The sequence below is a fragment of the Homo sapiens genome, chromosome 4 (assembly GCF_000001405.40).
Source record: "Homo sapiens chromosome 4, GRCh38.p14 Primary Assembly".
Classification (NCBI taxonomy): Eukaryota; Metazoa; Chordata; class Mammalia; order Primates; family Hominidae; genus Homo; species Homo sapiens.
This window is the reverse complement of record NC_000004.12, coordinates 108,807,501-108,824,760: the sequence shown is the minus strand read 5'-3', so window position 1 is coordinate 108,824,760 and position 17,260 is coordinate 108,807,501. Positions and strand designations below refer to the sequence as shown.

General features: G+C 35.8%; 1 protein-coding gene across 11 annotated transcripts in view; it reads left to right on the top strand.

The window, feature by feature from the left end:
• Positions 1 to 16,036, top strand: part of COL25A1 (collagen type XXV alpha 1 chain) — a 493,934-nt gene extending 477,898 nt beyond the window's left edge. For 7 of the 11 annotated variants that reach the window (XM_011532335.3, XM_011532334.3, XM_011532333.3 and 4 more), the window contains 4 exons: positions 534 to 587; positions 4,863 to 4,949; positions 7,326 to 7,364; positions 10,832 to 16,036. In XM_011532335.3, the coding sequence (XP_011530637.1) occupies positions 534 to 587; positions 4,863 to 4,949; positions 7,326 to 7,364; positions 10,832 to 10,834 (183 nt within the window). In that variant the 3' untranslated portion in view covers positions 10,835 to 16,036. Of the gene's footprint in view, positions 1 to 533; positions 918 to 4,862; positions 4,950 to 5,431; positions 5,510 to 7,325; positions 7,365 to 10,831 lie in introns of those variants that run through there. The other 4 variants (NM_032518.4, NM_001256074.3, NR_045756.3 and 1 more) reach the window with 3 other exon arrangements.

Genomic DNA, 17,260 nt, shown 5'->3' with positions numbered 1-17,260 from the left:
GAAAATAGAGAATGTCAAAAGTAAATGCCTCTAGACACAATCACTGCTCATCCTGTATTACCTGAATAATGAGAATACCAAAAGTAATACTAGTTACTGTTTATGAGCACCTGTTATGGGCAGGCATCATTCTGGTACTTTGTAGTACATCATCACATTTAACATTCACAACAGCTGTCTGGTAGATATCATTAACCCCATTTTACAGTCAACGGACTAAAGTGCAGAGAGGTAAGTGATTTGCCCAAATCTGCACAAATCAGTGAACTTGCCAGAATTCAAACTAGTATTCTGGTATTCTTTCTACTCTGTATTTCTTAAAAGAAAAAGCAAGAAACCTGTTGTGTATAGATAATTGAGACATTAGAAAACTTATGTTTCTAAGCACTGCTTTATTATCTAAGTCTTAACACTGGTGAGCCATTTCTTGTTATATTTAAGCTCAGAAATGTAAAATCCTAAAATATTTGTTTCTATATGATTTTGCCACTATTACACCAATAGATCTTTTTGGTTTGCTTTTTATCTTACAGGGCTTCCCTGGTCCACGGGGTGAGAAGGGTGATCTAGGAGAAAAGGGAGAAAAGGTGACCTCTCCATCCCAGCATGTACCTTGTTTGATTCTTCTCCTGCTGTCTGCTTTGCTGTTCAGCTTGTGTGATTCCATTTGACACTTAATCTTTCTCCATCCTGTGCTCCAAAAACATACTGATGCCTGATTTAAGGAATCAGGTCTTCAGAGAGGAATGAAGAAGGCTGTACTGCCAGATATAAGGGCACTGCCTGGCATAGAAGAAAAAATTATTATCACCAGATATTCTAGCTACAGTTTTTCAACCACCTGACACCAATTTATGGAAAAATAAAGGATTTTTGAAAAAAAAATCATTTTAAAAAGTAAAATTAAATGACACAAATCTGCAGTAGTATTTGGCAGAGCTCATTGAACCCTGCAAAGGCAGCATCTCACTTGTCTTCACTACTTCCCAGTAGAGAAATGGAGATATGTTTTGTACGTTGATATTTTTTATATGAAAATGGAGGAGAAGCAGTGTGACTGATAAACTACAGTAAGTTCACTACACAGGACTAGGACTTGCCACTTTCAGATTCAGAGCAACAGAGATTTTTAAAACAGAGATATTGGTGTATTTTATGAGGTTGATGTTGAAGTTCTATCTCAGAACCATCAGCTCCATGGTCTTTAGGAGCCCATGTCAGGCAATATGGTTTTATGACTTGAAAGAAAAGTTTGGATTATGGATTTTAAAAGTCAATTTTTCCTTTCCTCTCCTTTGTTCTTTTCTCCTCCTTTCCCTTCTTTACTCTCCTCTGTTTCTTTTCTCTCCTTCCCTCCCTCCCTCCATCCTTCTCTATCTCTGTCTTCCCCTACCACCCCTTTCTCAGTATTTTGCTTGGGTCTTTTACCTGGTAGTAAATCTAAGGAGAATTGTTTACACTGGACACAACAAAAGAAGCCATCAAAAACTCAATCCCTCAATAGAACAGTGGAAATCTTAAAGTGGCTGAAACTACATTTCACAGTACAAATTTAAACCTTATATTTCTCAGGTTAATTTATGTCCCTGCTCTATTTAACCTTATGAATTCTCTTGAACAGTGACATTCATAGCTGTTGACAAGCAAGGCTAAATGAGAGTTGTGAAAGAAAGAAGATTATTAAGCTTGTGGTGTAAGTTTTAGGCCTTAAGCATTGCTTAGACTCTCCTCCCACCCATTGGTAAGAGAGCCCGTGTAAGTGGTTATCTGAAAGCCCCATCATCATCACCAGTATCATCACATTTACTGAGCATTATGTGCTTTCCCAAGAGCTATACATATGATAAGTCTTTTAATCCTCATAACAACCCCCGAAGTTGGCATTATTTTCCCCACTTCACAAACAAGGAAACTGAAGTATAAAAAATTCTTTTATTCTGAATTATAAATTCTGACTATAAAATACATACGTTTTGAGATAAATTGTGCATATAAGCTTTTAGCCCAAGATGAGTGTGTTTTAAAGATGATATGTAGCTGGGTGCAGTGGTTCATGCCTATAATCCCAGTGCTTTGAGAGTCCAAGGTGGGAGGACTGCTTAAGGCCCAGAGTTCAACACTAGTCTGGGCAACCCATCTCTAGTGAGACCCCCATCTCTACTAAAAAATAAAAAAATATGGTGGGGCATGGTGGCATGTACCTGTAGTCCCAGCTACTCCAGAGGCTGAGGTGGGAAGATCACTTGAACTCAAGAGTTTGAGGCTGCAGTGAGCTATGCTCATACCACTGTACTTTAGCCTGGGTGACAGAACAAGACTCTATCTCTAAAAAAACTCAAAAACATATATATATGCATTTTATATTTACCTAGTTGGTTGTATGAGTCTAAAATCTTAATCACTCAAAAACATATTACCGCCGGGCGTGGTGGCTCACGCCTGTAATCCCAACACTTTGGGAGGCCGAGGCGGGTGGATCACTTGAGGTCAGGAGTTTGAGACCAGCCTGGCCAACATGACGAAACCCCATCTCTACTAAAAATACAAAAATTAGCTGGGGGTGGTGGTGGGTACCTGTAATCCCAGCTACTCAGGAGGCTGAGGCAGGAGAATCGCTTGAACCCAGGAGGCAGAGGTTGCAGTGAGCCGAGATCACGCCATTGCACTCCAGCCTGGGCAACAAGAGTGAGACCCTGTCCCAAAAAAAAAAAAAAAAATTACCATTAGGAGGATACTCACGTTTATGAGAAAGAAATTACCAGCATTACAGCATAGGAAAGCATAAAAGCTAGAAACTTGATCCTCAGAATAATGTTAATCACCCATACAAAATATTTCCATGTTCAGCTTCCATGATTAGAAGTTTTAAATTTACAAAAATTGGTTCTAAATGCGAATAATTCATGTATATAATTCTTTGACATGGGAAATAAAAGTTATCAAGAGCTCTCATGTACTCATACCCACAATGACATGGTTTTGTATTGCATGGGGAATCAGTGCATATTACAAAACAATGCTGACTAATAATAACATTGGCACGTTATTCTTCATACTGTAGTGTTTCTTTCCCATAAAGCTTGAGGCTCACTAAAATATTACTGAAAAATGATTCCTATAGCCTGGCACAGTAACATTCATATGACATTTTTCTGTTGAGTGGTTAATCTGAGTTGATTTACCAATCAAATAATGAATTGAATTCCAAAGTGATAATACCCAAGACACCTGGTCTCAGACACACCTATGTGAAGAAGAGTCCACTGCCCTTTGGGAGGGAAGAGCTCACCCAAATGAGTTTACATCAGTTTTATGTCATGGTACTGAAGTGATTTGTTAAGGAAGAATGTTGATCCATCTTGAGTGAGTGACCAACTTACTCCTGAATGTTCTTCCCATCTTACTTCCTATCACAACTGCTCTCATTTCACCCTGACTTCTGGGGTCATCATTGTCTTTGATCATGATCAACTAAGCCACAGAGAATGTCTCTTTGCCCCATATTCAAGAAATCCAAGTGTTTTTGATTCTGAGCCTTCTGATGCAATCTTTTTGGCACACAGGAGATAAATGAAGAGCTTTTGCTCATGCTGTCAGAATGAATGTATTGATTTGAATGCACATCTCATATATTTCTGTTATGTATATCTCTTTTAACCTTTCAATATTCATGTTGCTTTGCTTCAGACATTATTCAGTTTTATTGTAACTCCCATCCTGATTGCAGAATGAATACATTTATTTAAGTATGTATTGTATAGTATTTTGAGTTCTGCACGGCACTAACTCCCTGTCTATAAATATGCAGAGATACTGATGTTAATATAAAACAGCTGAGGTGCATTCCTTCCTACTCCTCCTTTTGCCTCCTTTCCTTAATTCCTCTGGCCTTATGATCCATGCAGATTTCCCACAACCTTTACCTTGATTCCTAAATACTAATTTCCATAGCTACATTCCCACTATGTAATTATCCTGCCTACCTCATTTTTACTGAGTCCAAGCTGCTTTTCCTCTCCTGAACAGATTTTTTTTTTTTTTGGCTTTTGTTACATTGTGAGTAAGCTGGAAACTCATTTACCATTGTAAATACATGGCATGAGATCAGTAAGAGAGTGAATTAAAGAAGATCCCTAGGTTTATAAATAAGTCTGTTTCTCCAGTTGGCATTGCTGCAAAGTATTAGCACTTTTAACATTTGTTTACCTGACTTAATAAGGAAAGTATTTGCTTTTAGTTTCTTTTAAAAAAAGTTTTGCTGTAACAAAAGGATGTAAAAAATATTAAAAGATATAGAAGCATATTTTAAGATATTGAATATTTTTGAATGAGAGTTACACAAGTAATATCAATCATAAAGTTGGATACATTTCAAAGAAATAGACACTGTTCATATTCTTTCCTTTTCCTCTGGTTCAATGCAGCTTTCATCTGTTACAGGATTAGAAAAAAGCAAGGTGACAGGTATTGAAAATTGAGTGAAGTATCCATTATTTCCCTGAACTTCATCTGCCACTGGCTGGCTTCAATGGTTTTGGTACCTGTCATCCTCACAGGATCTGTGACTCAGACACCTAATTCATGATCGTGACATTGTGGTCTAAGTTAGCACTTCTGATGTATCAGCTTTTAAGCCTCCTTCTTCTGTCTTGTTGAGTATCTTAAATAAAATCCCACATGCCCCTGCCCAGAATCCATTGTCACTCTGAAAATATGTTAGCTGTTATAATATCATGCCTTACCTAAATCAGAAAACAGTGGTAAATGCCCTTCCAGAATTTTCTTACCTAAACCATCTTTTGAATTACCGTTATTTTCCCCCAAATAAAATTTGTCTTTTATTTAAACCCTTGTATCCACAGGGGGAAAAGGGAAAGAAAGGCAAAAAGGGGCCTAAAGGGGAGAAAGGAGAACAGGGTGCTCCTGGATTAGATGCACCCTGCCCGTTGGTATGTCTGACTTGTGGAACTGTCTCCAGATGTTTGTGTGAGGGGATCAGATGGGAGAAGAGCAAGCCGGAGGGATCCGTAACAGGAGGGTTTCTGATTGGGCTCATTTAACATGGACTTCAAGATACCCAGAAACATTTATCAGTTATCCTGATACGTTCCACATCTCGTCTTGGGCCACTAGCTCTGCCTGGTTTCTTAACCCCCAAATATCACGGCACAATTGGAACCTGAATGTAAGATCCGAAAGGAACTGGCACGATTCCATACCCTTCAAAAGAGGAGGCCACTGTTTTCAGACAAGCCCCTGTTGTAGGAATATGTCTCCCTCCATTTTACTTTGCCCAACTTCACTGGATGTTACTTTTCCCTTCAGAGTTGCTCCTCTCCCAGCCTTTGTTGTTGTAGTTACTTCTTTCGCAGAATTTGTGCTTAAGTGATTTCTTGTGTTAGTAACATTATGAGTTAATCTTTACAAACAGGGATTCCGTGGCGTTAAGGGGGAAAAAGGGGAGCCAGGCCAGCCTGGCCTGGATGGGCTGGATGCCCCTTGCCAATTGGTACAGTATTTCTCTTTCCTACCACCCTGCATGCAGTTCCTTTGTTTATCACATGTTCATCTCTATCAGTGTAAAGTGGTGCTTTCTGGGCAAGCTTTACATGATAAACACACTACATGCATGTGCATGAACAGGCTCCTTCTGCCACTGTGCAGAGTCAGAGAGCAAGCACGCGTTTCTATCAATGAATGCAAATTAATCTCCTGATGTTGTTCTCACAACTGACATGACCACCTTTTCTGTGTTCTTTGGGATATTAATTTTTTCAATAAATATTTAAAGATTACATTAAAATTATGTGAAAATATTTGATGCAAAGACACTGCTAGACCATAACTTTTGGTTTTCCACCTAAGTTTGACTTTTTTTCTTTTTCTCTAAAAAAAAAAAAAGGTATTTCTGCCTTTTTCGCTATATTTCAATCAGGCTATAAATAAGGCCCAACCTACGGAATTCAGCTTCTGTCGTCAAGTGTTAACCAATTCAAGAGAATGCTTTAAGAGACCACAAAGAAGAAGACCAAACTTCTCTGAGCTTCTAAAGATGATAAAAGTCTGCAGCCCCAACCTTCTTCTTTGCCACATAACCTTTTCAGTTTAATGGTCTCTCCTTTTGAAACTCACTTTCCTAAAGTAGACCAAACTCCCTTATCTCCATTGGCATGAACTCAAAATCCTCCTGATACTAAAATCTAAAATTCTGCTGGTTGAACCTTCTCCTTGTACCAATCTGGCATTACCAGTTTTTCCCAAATATTTATGAAGCTTTTTAAAAGTGTTCTTTTTTTACATTTAAAATGAAAGTATATTCATATTTTCTGAGGTATAAATAAAAATTTTTATGTTTGCGTTGATGGTTATATTGGTCTGCATGTTCTTATATTATTCTTCAGGTATAAGCATGATTCTTTAAAGATAAATTTATATTTCTCTTTAAGAGATTGTATTTATATTTTTAAAAATTAAGCAGTCAGTGATTATAGTTAGAAAATCTCAATATGAAGTTCCCAGTTCTTTGTTTGCTTGGTATTGATGATAAATCATATTTTATGATCATTTTGTTGGTGGAAAAGTAGAAGCATGCCTTCTTGATGTACCAACTCTTCCTGCGTTATTTGTGTCATTTGTATCTGAAGAATGCATACACTTTAAAATAAATTTTGCAACACTTAGGAACCTCTTATTTTATTCAGAATTTGTTAACTTTTGAATAATTTAAATAGAGAAATCGATAAATGCTGTAGATAATATTTTATCATAAAAATATAGATAGGCTGCCTGTCCTCTAATTCAATTGAGTATGTTCTACTGTATTTACTTTCAATATAGAAAAGTGAAAAATACTGGCATGTGAAGAGCTATAAACTTCAGATAGAAATGGTTTATCATTGATTATTCATCATTATCATGAATTCAGCCATAGTCTAATAGTGACCGGGAAGAGAAGTTATTTTGGTTTACGTAATAGAGATACCAGTGAGATGTGTTTTAATGGAATTAAGAGTATAGATTTATTATCTAAAAATATAGATATGAATAGAGCACTATGCTTTGTAAATTGCTTTTTCAAAATTAGGCATAACATTTTCTATACTTCATGTGTTTTCAAAATGTGTACTCACTCTGGAAAACATTTGAATTTTCTTTATTTTACCTAACACTGGGAAATATATCGGGAGTTGCTAATTAGTAAAAGATGCCCATGACCAAAGTCACTAATGGGTAGAAATTTATTTTTAAGCCTCTGAGCATGTGAATTATGAAGTTTAATCACTCTTATGGAACCTGAGGAATTCTTTTTCTTCTCTTTAAAACAGGGGCCAGATGGCTTACCCATGCCTGGCTGTTGGCAAAAGGTAGGCTTTACTGAATAATTTCTCAAAAGAAGCACTCTCCCTTTCTCTTAACCTGGACTAGCCTTTTCCATTCAGAAAAGACCTTCGGATATTAAAAAGCAAAAGATTTCATCTCCAGAATATCTTTTGATCAGTATATTTACTGCTGATTTCTTCCTAAACTGATCAGCTAATGCAATTCTTAGCAAACACTGCAATTTGGAACCTTCCCTATCTAATCTTTTCTTTGGAATGGAAAGGGGCAGTGCATCCTGATAATGTTTTGCTTGTCTCTCAAAATCTTTGTCTTCCTAATGTTTAAAACTATTCTTAATTGTGATTCTTTTTCTATTTATCCTTACTTACACTGACAAACATGATAATACATGGTAGAACCCTGTCAATATTAGTCACAGAGCTGAGAAAGCAGAAAAATATAAGCATCATTTGTTTAATGATGTCTTGACTTATGTAGGAAAAACTGAATTAAATTTAAGTGGTGTCCTTTATGACATCAGTTTATTCTAGCCTCTTCATATGACTGCCCATAGTCACTGTGTGTGTATTCAGTGATGAAAGAAGTTTATTCTTTATAGAGAACCTTCTATGTGCAAAGGCTGTATGACAAGCCTTTTCATATAGAGAATATCATTTCATTTAATCCACACAATGACTCCATAAAGTCTTATTACCCTCAGTGATGCAGATGAGGAAACAAATTCGAGAGGTCAAGGACCTTCCAAGAGCACAGAACTAGTATGTATCACAACTAGGAGAGGGAGAGAGAGAGACAATGGAAAGCAACAGTAAAACTGTAAGCAGGGAAGAGATCATCCATATGTGCTGTGCTATTCAGAGAATATCAAACCTTTATGCAATAATGGTGAAGATCTAATTATAAAGGCTGTGCACATGCTACTGAAGGATAAAAGCATTCCAAGCATGTAAAAATGAGCTGAGGAAATGCACAAGATGCTTCAATCATTTTGAAATTTTTTCTCCAGCACCTTGTGGCTTCTTCAGTAATTTTGGACAGGCATGCTTCATTAGCAAAATTATAGCAAAACTATGTAGCAATGCAGAAAGATGGGAAACCTGACTCCTAGTTGCCTCTTACCTTAGCAACTCCATTGGTGAGAAAATCCTGAATAACTCACTCTCTTTCTTAATCAGTTTCACCTACTTGACCAGAGAAAGTAAAACCTCTCTAAGTAGCGTCATTTATTTAGTAGCTTCCCATACTCCGCTTTCAGCCTGTCAGATAATTAGCTTGATCACACACAGGGTCAAATGGGTCTCATGAAAATGGACCTATCATCAAATTCTTCTTCACCTGAGAAAACTATCCCTCCACTATCATAACCCCCGTTCACAGAATTTTTAATACCATCTTGAGCTGGAATTACCACTTAATCTCTAACCTTTGCCCTGTAATCTAATAGTATAATGATTTTTTAAACCAGCCATTAGCACACTTCACATAGAGGAGATGCAATAGGCTTGCTTTAGCCAGCCTTCTGACACCACTCAGAACTTGGGTTCGCAATCGTTCTTAGCCACCTCTGAATTGCTGCCTTTTTAAAGGGGTTTATAATCTGAATCGCTGCCTTTTTAAAAGGGGTTTATACCCTTAAATGGCAACAAAGAACTCATCATCTTTTTGGTTCATGAAATGGGCATCATCTTTTTGGTTCATGAAATGGTTCATGAAATTCATATTACTGGTAGTAATATGAATACGATTAGAAAATCAGAAATTTTCCTTTTAAATACTCCTTTTTCCACAGAATAGACACTATACACTACATAAGATTAAAGATCTTATGAATCCAGCATCTTCTTATATAAAGAATAAGAATTATGAAAGTTTAGTATTGTTTACCACACCCACCCAACACACACAAATGCAAATCATTCTGATCAACCTCTCCCACCCATCCCCAGAAAGGAAAGAAACAATTTAGAAAATGAAAACGTTCTCAAATTTCTTATGTGGTCAACTTAGCTGTTACATTGAATAGTCAAATAAAACTATTTTTTAAATTATATTTTTAAAATAAAGTCAGCGGATTGCTTTTAGTGAGTCCTATTTTTGGGTGTATCACCCTTTTGAACACTGCTGTGTTTATTAGGCTGTAGGGCACAGTGGCAAATGTTTGCTTGACTTAAAATTCAAATTGTGGCAGTCGTATAAATCACTGATTAATTACCAACTCCTCTTGGTCATGCTCCTCTCAATGATTTATATATGCAAAACTATTTGATCTTTTTTTAAATTAGTTTTCTTTCTAGATATAGTTCCATTTTCTAAATTTACCAACACAAGAAGAGTTAAGAGAGATAAGTGAGGGTTTGGAAAAAGGAGTGCTTCCTATAGACACATTTTTTGGCATTGGCATGACAGGCAAGAATATTGAGTGAACTCCTTCTCTGAAGATTAGAAAGCAGCCTCCAAAGCACACCTAGTAGAGCATCTATATTCCTTGAATAGAGAAAAACAAATGTTAATAAATAAACTTAAAGATGACTCCATGCATTGTGGAGGGTGAATGAAGAGACCTCCGTTATTCTCCTTCCCTATACATTCTGCTTACTGATAATCAGTGATTTATACGACTGCCACAATTTGAATTTTAAGTCAAGCAAACATTTGCCACTGTGCCCTACAACCTAATAAACACAGCAGCGTTCAAAAGGGTGATACACCCAATGTCAAGGACGTCTCTAAGATCTGCTTTGTAAGTGTATATCTCAAAGACCTCTGTTCCTCAGACCTCTGACTTAATGCAGTTCTAAGAAAACCTTAGTTATTATGACTGCTATGAGAGAGAGATGAGAAAGCAGAAATCTGTGGTGAGAAACCAGAAATCTGGTGAGAAACCAGAAATCTGCGGTGCCTTAGGTCACAATGGAACCTGTAATACAGATTGAAGGCCTGACAGCAGGCAGGTCTACCTTGCACAACATTCACAGAGGGCAAGGCTTGCAAAAGGAAGGAGGAGCCAAGAACTGAAGATAGAGGATTAGAGTCAGGTGTTGGTGACGTAAACAACATTATCGAGGTCAATCCTCAGCCCTTTCCACAGTTGTATTGTAATGCGTGCAGAAGATTATGTAGGTTACAAATACAAAATTAAATTTAATTATGGTACATATGTGATAAACATCCTAATTTTCTGCTTTCCCAGAACAGTCACTGAGCAAAAGACTTACCCTAAAATTCTCAGTGGCAAAGGAAAGATAATTCTCAGTGGCAAAGGAAAAATGTGGAATGAACCTCAGATGGAAATTGCCATGACATCTTGGAGTTTAGAAAGTAATATATAGCACACATATCAGATAATCAATTGGCTCATTGATAGCCAGTCAGTTGGCTTATAGACTCTATTCAAGGTTCTACCAGTTTTCTGAAAATAAATATTGATTTAAAATTTTAATTCAAGACTACTAATTCCATGTATTTGTCTTTTTGTTGTCTTTTTCTGCAGTGATGAATCTAACCTTTCAAGCATGAAGTTGTGTATATAAGGGTCCATTTTTAATATTTATAGTTGAAAACTGAATTGCAGATTTTACAAGTCTGAGATATGTTTACATAGGGCTGCTTCTTCCTGCTGGCAGTAGTATACATGTCCATTTTTACTCCACTTACATCTGAAATTGGGCAATTTGTGAAACCAGTGAGAATCCTGCAAAAAATATAGATCAGTATCTCCTTATCTTATGTGAAGATACGTATTTATATGGACAAATCAGTGGTAGAGAATGATTGATTGTACTAGCTATTTTCCTTCTTTTGGCTTGCTAATTGCATGGACAAAAAGTGCCATGAAATAGTTTACATGAAATGGTGACCAAATATGGACTCAAAGCTATGAAAATGTACTATACTGACTGATTTTAGAGCTGATTATCACATTCCCATTCACCTTTCATGTCGGCGTTGACTCATACCTACACCACCCATTGAAACTAACTAAAAAAGCATGACTGTGTGCCAAACCTGCTTGCTGTGCAACTTCAGATGCTAGCATGTTGATCAGGAGTCCTTTGATTACATCTGAACCTTTATTCCTTTTGTCATCTCAAGGGGGTTACACCATGGCTTATTGCCAAAAAGAGATAAGGTGGCGGAGAGCACACACACAATTTGTCTTGTATTTTGAGGGAGTTGCAGTCCTGACTGCAGATCTACAGCTTCCAGTATTGTGGGCTCATGTGGCCACTTTGGTTGAAATACGAAGGGGTTGAGCCTGTTGCTGCCACCAGTTTTCCTTGGGCTGCCCTTGGCAGTGAAGACATGGGAAGAGGACCGATTCAGCCTCCAGCACTGCCTCTCATGTGACCAAGTAGGAAAGAGGTTTACAAATGCAAACATGCAGAACCACAGACTTTAAAAATATGTATAAATAAACTGAATTTCAGCAAGTGTTAATATAGGTGCTTTTAAAAATGACAGAGGCACAGCACTTCTTTTGGAATAGGAGATTCTTGGAATGGGAGATCCTGTCCCTGAGGGAAAAGGGATGTCCATCCCACCAAAACTTGGGTTGCTGAAGAAATAACATGTTCTGAGAAGGGATCAGCCAAAATCGCCTCTCCCGATGATATAGGAGAGCTTACTGGGACAATCTGTGCCAAAGTTGTTGTGAGAGCTTTCCTTCCTCCTACGATCCAACCATGTCAAACATTTCCTACAAAGTTTGAGAAACAGGTATTTTTCATTCTTTTTAATGCTTTTTTCTTTTTCTTTCTTTAGTCCCAAGAATATTGAAAAAATATTAGTTTCAGTTTTTGTCACATATGTTTTGAACAATTTTTTTAAGAAGTCTTCAAATCATAATAATTTGGCTCCAGTAGTCAAAATGACCTTTTACTAACTTCTCTCTTGTTTTGGATAATTGGATAGAATATAAAAGAAGCTCCACTTTCAGTCTAATCATTGTAAAGCATGAAAGTTATGCATTTTTAAGTAGTTTTGACTTTTTTTACATGATGAATGTAACGTACATGGAGATTATCAGTTAATATAAAGCCAAGATTTTGTCACATTTGGTAATATTAACTAATTTCTATTTTTATGGTTTTAAGTTTTGTCTATATTTAGATTTCTTTCTCTTTTTAACATTTCTAAATGTTTGTCTCATCCTCATATCCACAGACCAAATCTAAGATCTCAGAAAGCTGTGAAATATAGTTGCCATAAAGAAAATATTTTTCATCTACTTGCTCAAACTTTACCTAACCATATTAGATGGAACATTTCTTTGCACAGTAAAGAGTTGGTAGCGTGTTTTGAAATGGCTTATTCTAAGTGGAAGTGTTACATTGAAAGAAACATTATCAATGAGGAGTAGGCACCCTTTCAGCCCATTAGAGAATTTAATTTCTCTCCTGACTCAATGCCATCTTCTGGGAAGATTTCTAGTTTCATGCATAGGTGTCACCACCAGAAGGGAAATTAACTCATCCTTGGCTTATAGTTAAGATATAACCATAAGACAAGGAACCTAAAATCCTCATGATCTCATTTATGTTATGTAACCAAATGACAGTCATACAAAATGGCATCTTCTTTTTTTTCTATTAAATTTTTAAGGTTGAAAGATGTTTAAACTATTAGATCAGTCTAATTGGTAACATTTCTGGTAACATTCCACACCCCTAAGCCAGTTTAGCATTTTGAAAATAATGGAGGACATTTTCTAACAATTTCTTGTATGGCATGGTGTTAGGATAACGTATTGCTCAATGTCTGACACAATTTGTCTTAAATGGTTTGGAAAAATGAACTGAAGTGGGTGGAACTACATTCTCTTCAGGAAAACAAACTACAGTGTCCAGTGGCTATATTTTTTTCCCTTCTATCTTTTTTTCTGCTCCTCTAGTAGAAAGAGGTGGATTGAAATGGATCACTATTTAAAACTTGCACAGCTTCAGGAGACGATACCTCAACATCAAAAGAAAAACACTTTATGTATAAAAAAATTTTTTGAAATACAGCCCTTCAAAGAATACTATTCTGTCCTGTGTGTATATTGAGTTTTTGCTCTATAACTGATTTGACAACATCAACTTATTTCATGATTAAATGAGGTTGTAAACTTTCATTACATTTATTTCCTTGGGAAAAACAAAGGGATGGAAATACTCCTCCTTGTTCAGTGGAATTGCTAGGTCTTAACCATGATGGATAATCTTTAACTTTTGGTTACTACAATGTTTTCAAGCATCCATTTTGTCATATAGAGAATTCTTAAATAATTTCTAAGTGAATGAAAGAATTGTGTTTGTTGATATGTGTTGATAGATAATATACTTTCCTTAAAGATTTCTTTAATGTGTGTTATTGGATAGAGGGTTGAGAAAATATACATGAAAGACACATTGGAAATAAGGCAAGGTCAGTTTCTATTTCTAATAAAACATTGAAGGATAGCAAATTGATATGTGTTTTAGATTTAAAATTGTTTTTCATTTATGTTGGTTGGTGCTAATGTATCTCTTTTCCTTTTTCTCTATGGACAATACAACTACTATGGATAATTTTATTTCCCTGTTTAATAGCATTCCTAAATCATTAGTGTGTTATTTTATTTTTAAAGTTCATGAATTTGCTATAATTATGGTCCAATGACCAGGCTTTCTTAATGTAAAACAAAACAGTGTACCAATAGATGATGTGTGTTTACTCGGATCATGGATCCTCCTATTTCATATTCATTTCATACATCATATGCCTTTATCTACTTTCATGTGTCTCATCTTTTTCATTCACTCGTCTTTTAGTTTATATGATTTGATGAAACATGACAAAACTAGCATCAGAGAAGTCTGCACACACCGTATAGAGTACCTAGTGCACAAATATACCTAATTTTTTCTTTCAGTTTTTGTTTTTCATTAGCAAAAGCAGTCTTGGAGGATTTTTTTTTCTCATGTGATTTTATAGAGGACATTAGAATATCTTTAATTCCTACCAGAAGAAAGGTCTTGTTTTTGAATTTACATTCTGTGCATACGATGTTCTGATGGGACAGCAAGAACTTACACATCAACTAGTTTATACTACATGTCCTTTGTCTAACTATCTATCTATATAGACATATGTGCTAGTTTAGAAAATTGTCAAATCAGCATGTCAGTACCAATGGAAAAATTGTCTTTGATATGTTATATTTTTCTCACTTAGGAAATGTGCTTAATTTCCAAGGGTTTTTTTTTTTAATGTTACTATTGAAGCATGAAAAGTTAACATCATTTGTTATCCTTTCTTTCCCCACTATATATTGTCTTACCCAGAGTAGGGCTATACTTTGGTGGTGTTTTAACATCTTCTAATAAGTGATCATAAGCAACATACAGATGCTAATATTTGAAATCTTGTTTTTTCTTACTTCCTAATAATCAAATTATATTAATATTTCACACTACAAAAAAATAGGATTTTCTAATTTGTAAAAACAAGAGCTCCTGCTATCTCTTGGAAGTTAAGTCCTTAGGAACCCTATCTTATCTTTCTAAAAATAATAAGTAAGAACAATCACATGTGATTCTGGCTATTAAAATCATACATCCCTAGTGGAATTAACAAGCTTGACCAATTATGATTATGCTAAATTGTTTTAGGCTAGGAGGACTGTCAGTCCCTACTTCTTCCCATTTTTCTTGGGATATCTTTATATTGGCTAGATTTGTTGCCAATATAAAATTGACACAGCAGAGACACTCCTCTAACTTAAATTTTTAGTGGAGTTTGGTTTTTGCTAACCCCGTACTAATAAACACTTTAATGACTTTTTTCATTTCAAAATATTTAAATGTATAAAATTGCCTATGCTGCTTATTGAAAGAACCGTCCTTTTGGGCATAAGAAGACTTTTTCAACCTAAACCGTTATGTGTGATTTATTAACAACTTAACAAAGAAAGTACCAACATCTCTCAAAATGTAGTTGATATTCTTACCTATCTCAGAAATATTAACGAATTGGATTCACAAAAGAATGTCTTACATACTGTTGACATTTATGTGAATATTCTTTATACTGTTGTAAATGTTTCATTCAACTTAATAACATTTTAAAAGATGTATGTATCTGATTTTTCTTTAGAAAATATTATATTTTTATTTGTATTTTTTACATTTTAAAGTTCATCTCTATGTGCAGCTATTTTTATATTGCCAAAAACTCACATAAATACAAAATAAGTGAAATATGCAAAAAAAAATATTTTGGCAAGCATTACACTGCATATTTTTTTAAATGTTTGTGGGCCAGTCTCATACAATTGATTATTCTAAGAATGTGTTGTGTCTTATCACTGTAAATATGGCACAAACCTGTTTATCTCAGTAGTGTAAATAATTGAAAGATTGAATTCTCCCTGTTCAATTTTTATTTTAATTTCCTTGTAATTTCTCCAGCTGACATTACTGTATCAAAAGATGCATAAGATTTTTGATTTGCGGTTTGGAGATAATTGCATTGTGTTCAGTTTCCAGTTTGTTTTTATTTGCTTTTTAAATTTGTTTTCAGGGTTCCTAGTTTGTGAGAAGTTGATCTTCAGAATTATTTTTACACTATTTATGACTTATTTTCATAATGTAAAAAGTGTGTAATTATTACAATATTAATCCAAACAATGATAATGAATTGTATTGTTATAAAGCTTTATTGATGTTCATGAAAACCTTGGCCTCTTTTCTTTGATTTAAACATTATTCATAAAGAATTTTATTCTACTCTTCTACAATATTGTAACCCCACCATTTAACCTGGTAAACATACCTAGCTATAGGGATTTTCTAAAACTAGAACTTTCTGGTTTGTTGTTGTTGTTTTTTTTTTTTTTGAGACGGAGTCTCGCTGTGTTGCCCAGGCTGGAGTGCAGTGGACCGATCTCGGCTCACTTCAAGCTCCACCTCCTGGGTTCAAGCGTTTCTCTTGCCTCAGCCTCCTGAGTAGCTGGGACTACACGTGCCCGCCACCACACAGGCTAATGTTTGTATTTTTAGTAGAGACAAGGTTTCATCATGTTGGTCAGGCTGGTCTCAAACTCCTGACCTCGTGATCCACCTGCCTCAGCCTCCCAAAGTGCTGGGATTACAGGCGTGAGCCACTGCGCCCGGCCTCCCCTCCTAATTTTCCTCCACTATTTCCCATCTTGATGAATTAAGTTACCTTACGTTTAGTTGCCTCTTACCATCCTCCCATCAAATTAGTCATCAGTATATGATTAGAATGTAGCGTATAATAATCACTTAATAAATATTTAATGGGCTGGGTGCAGTGGCTCACGTCTGTAATCCCAGCACTTTGGGAGGCTGAGGCGGGTGGATCACGAGGTTAGGAGATCAAAACCATCCTGGACAACATGGTGAAACCCCATCTCTACTGAAAATACAAAAAATTAGCTGGGTGTGGTGGCAGGCACCTGTAATCCCAGCTATTCAGGAGGCTGAGGCAGGAGAATCACTTGAACCTGGGAGGCGGAGGTTGCAGTGAGCCCAGATTGCACCTAGGGGACAGAACGAGACTCAGTCTAAAAAAAAAAAAAAATAAATAAATAAATAAAATAAAATTACATATATATATATATGTATTTAATGAATGATGAATGAATAAATGCCTCCACAAAGACACCAATTATTTACAAGTCCCAAATAAAAGAGTACTTCCCAATGCTCACCTTTCTTATATTTTTGCTTTTGTAATTGAAAGATAAAATTGTGTGTATTTGTTGTGCAAAATACGATGTTTTGAAGTATATACACACTGTGGAGTGGCTAGACCTAGCGCTCATCTTTGTTGATCTTGCCAGCAGCATTAGATGCAGTTGACCACTGCCACCCTCTTCAGCACTATTTTTAGTTCTCAAGTCTTTATATTCTTGTCATTTAATCCTACTATTCTT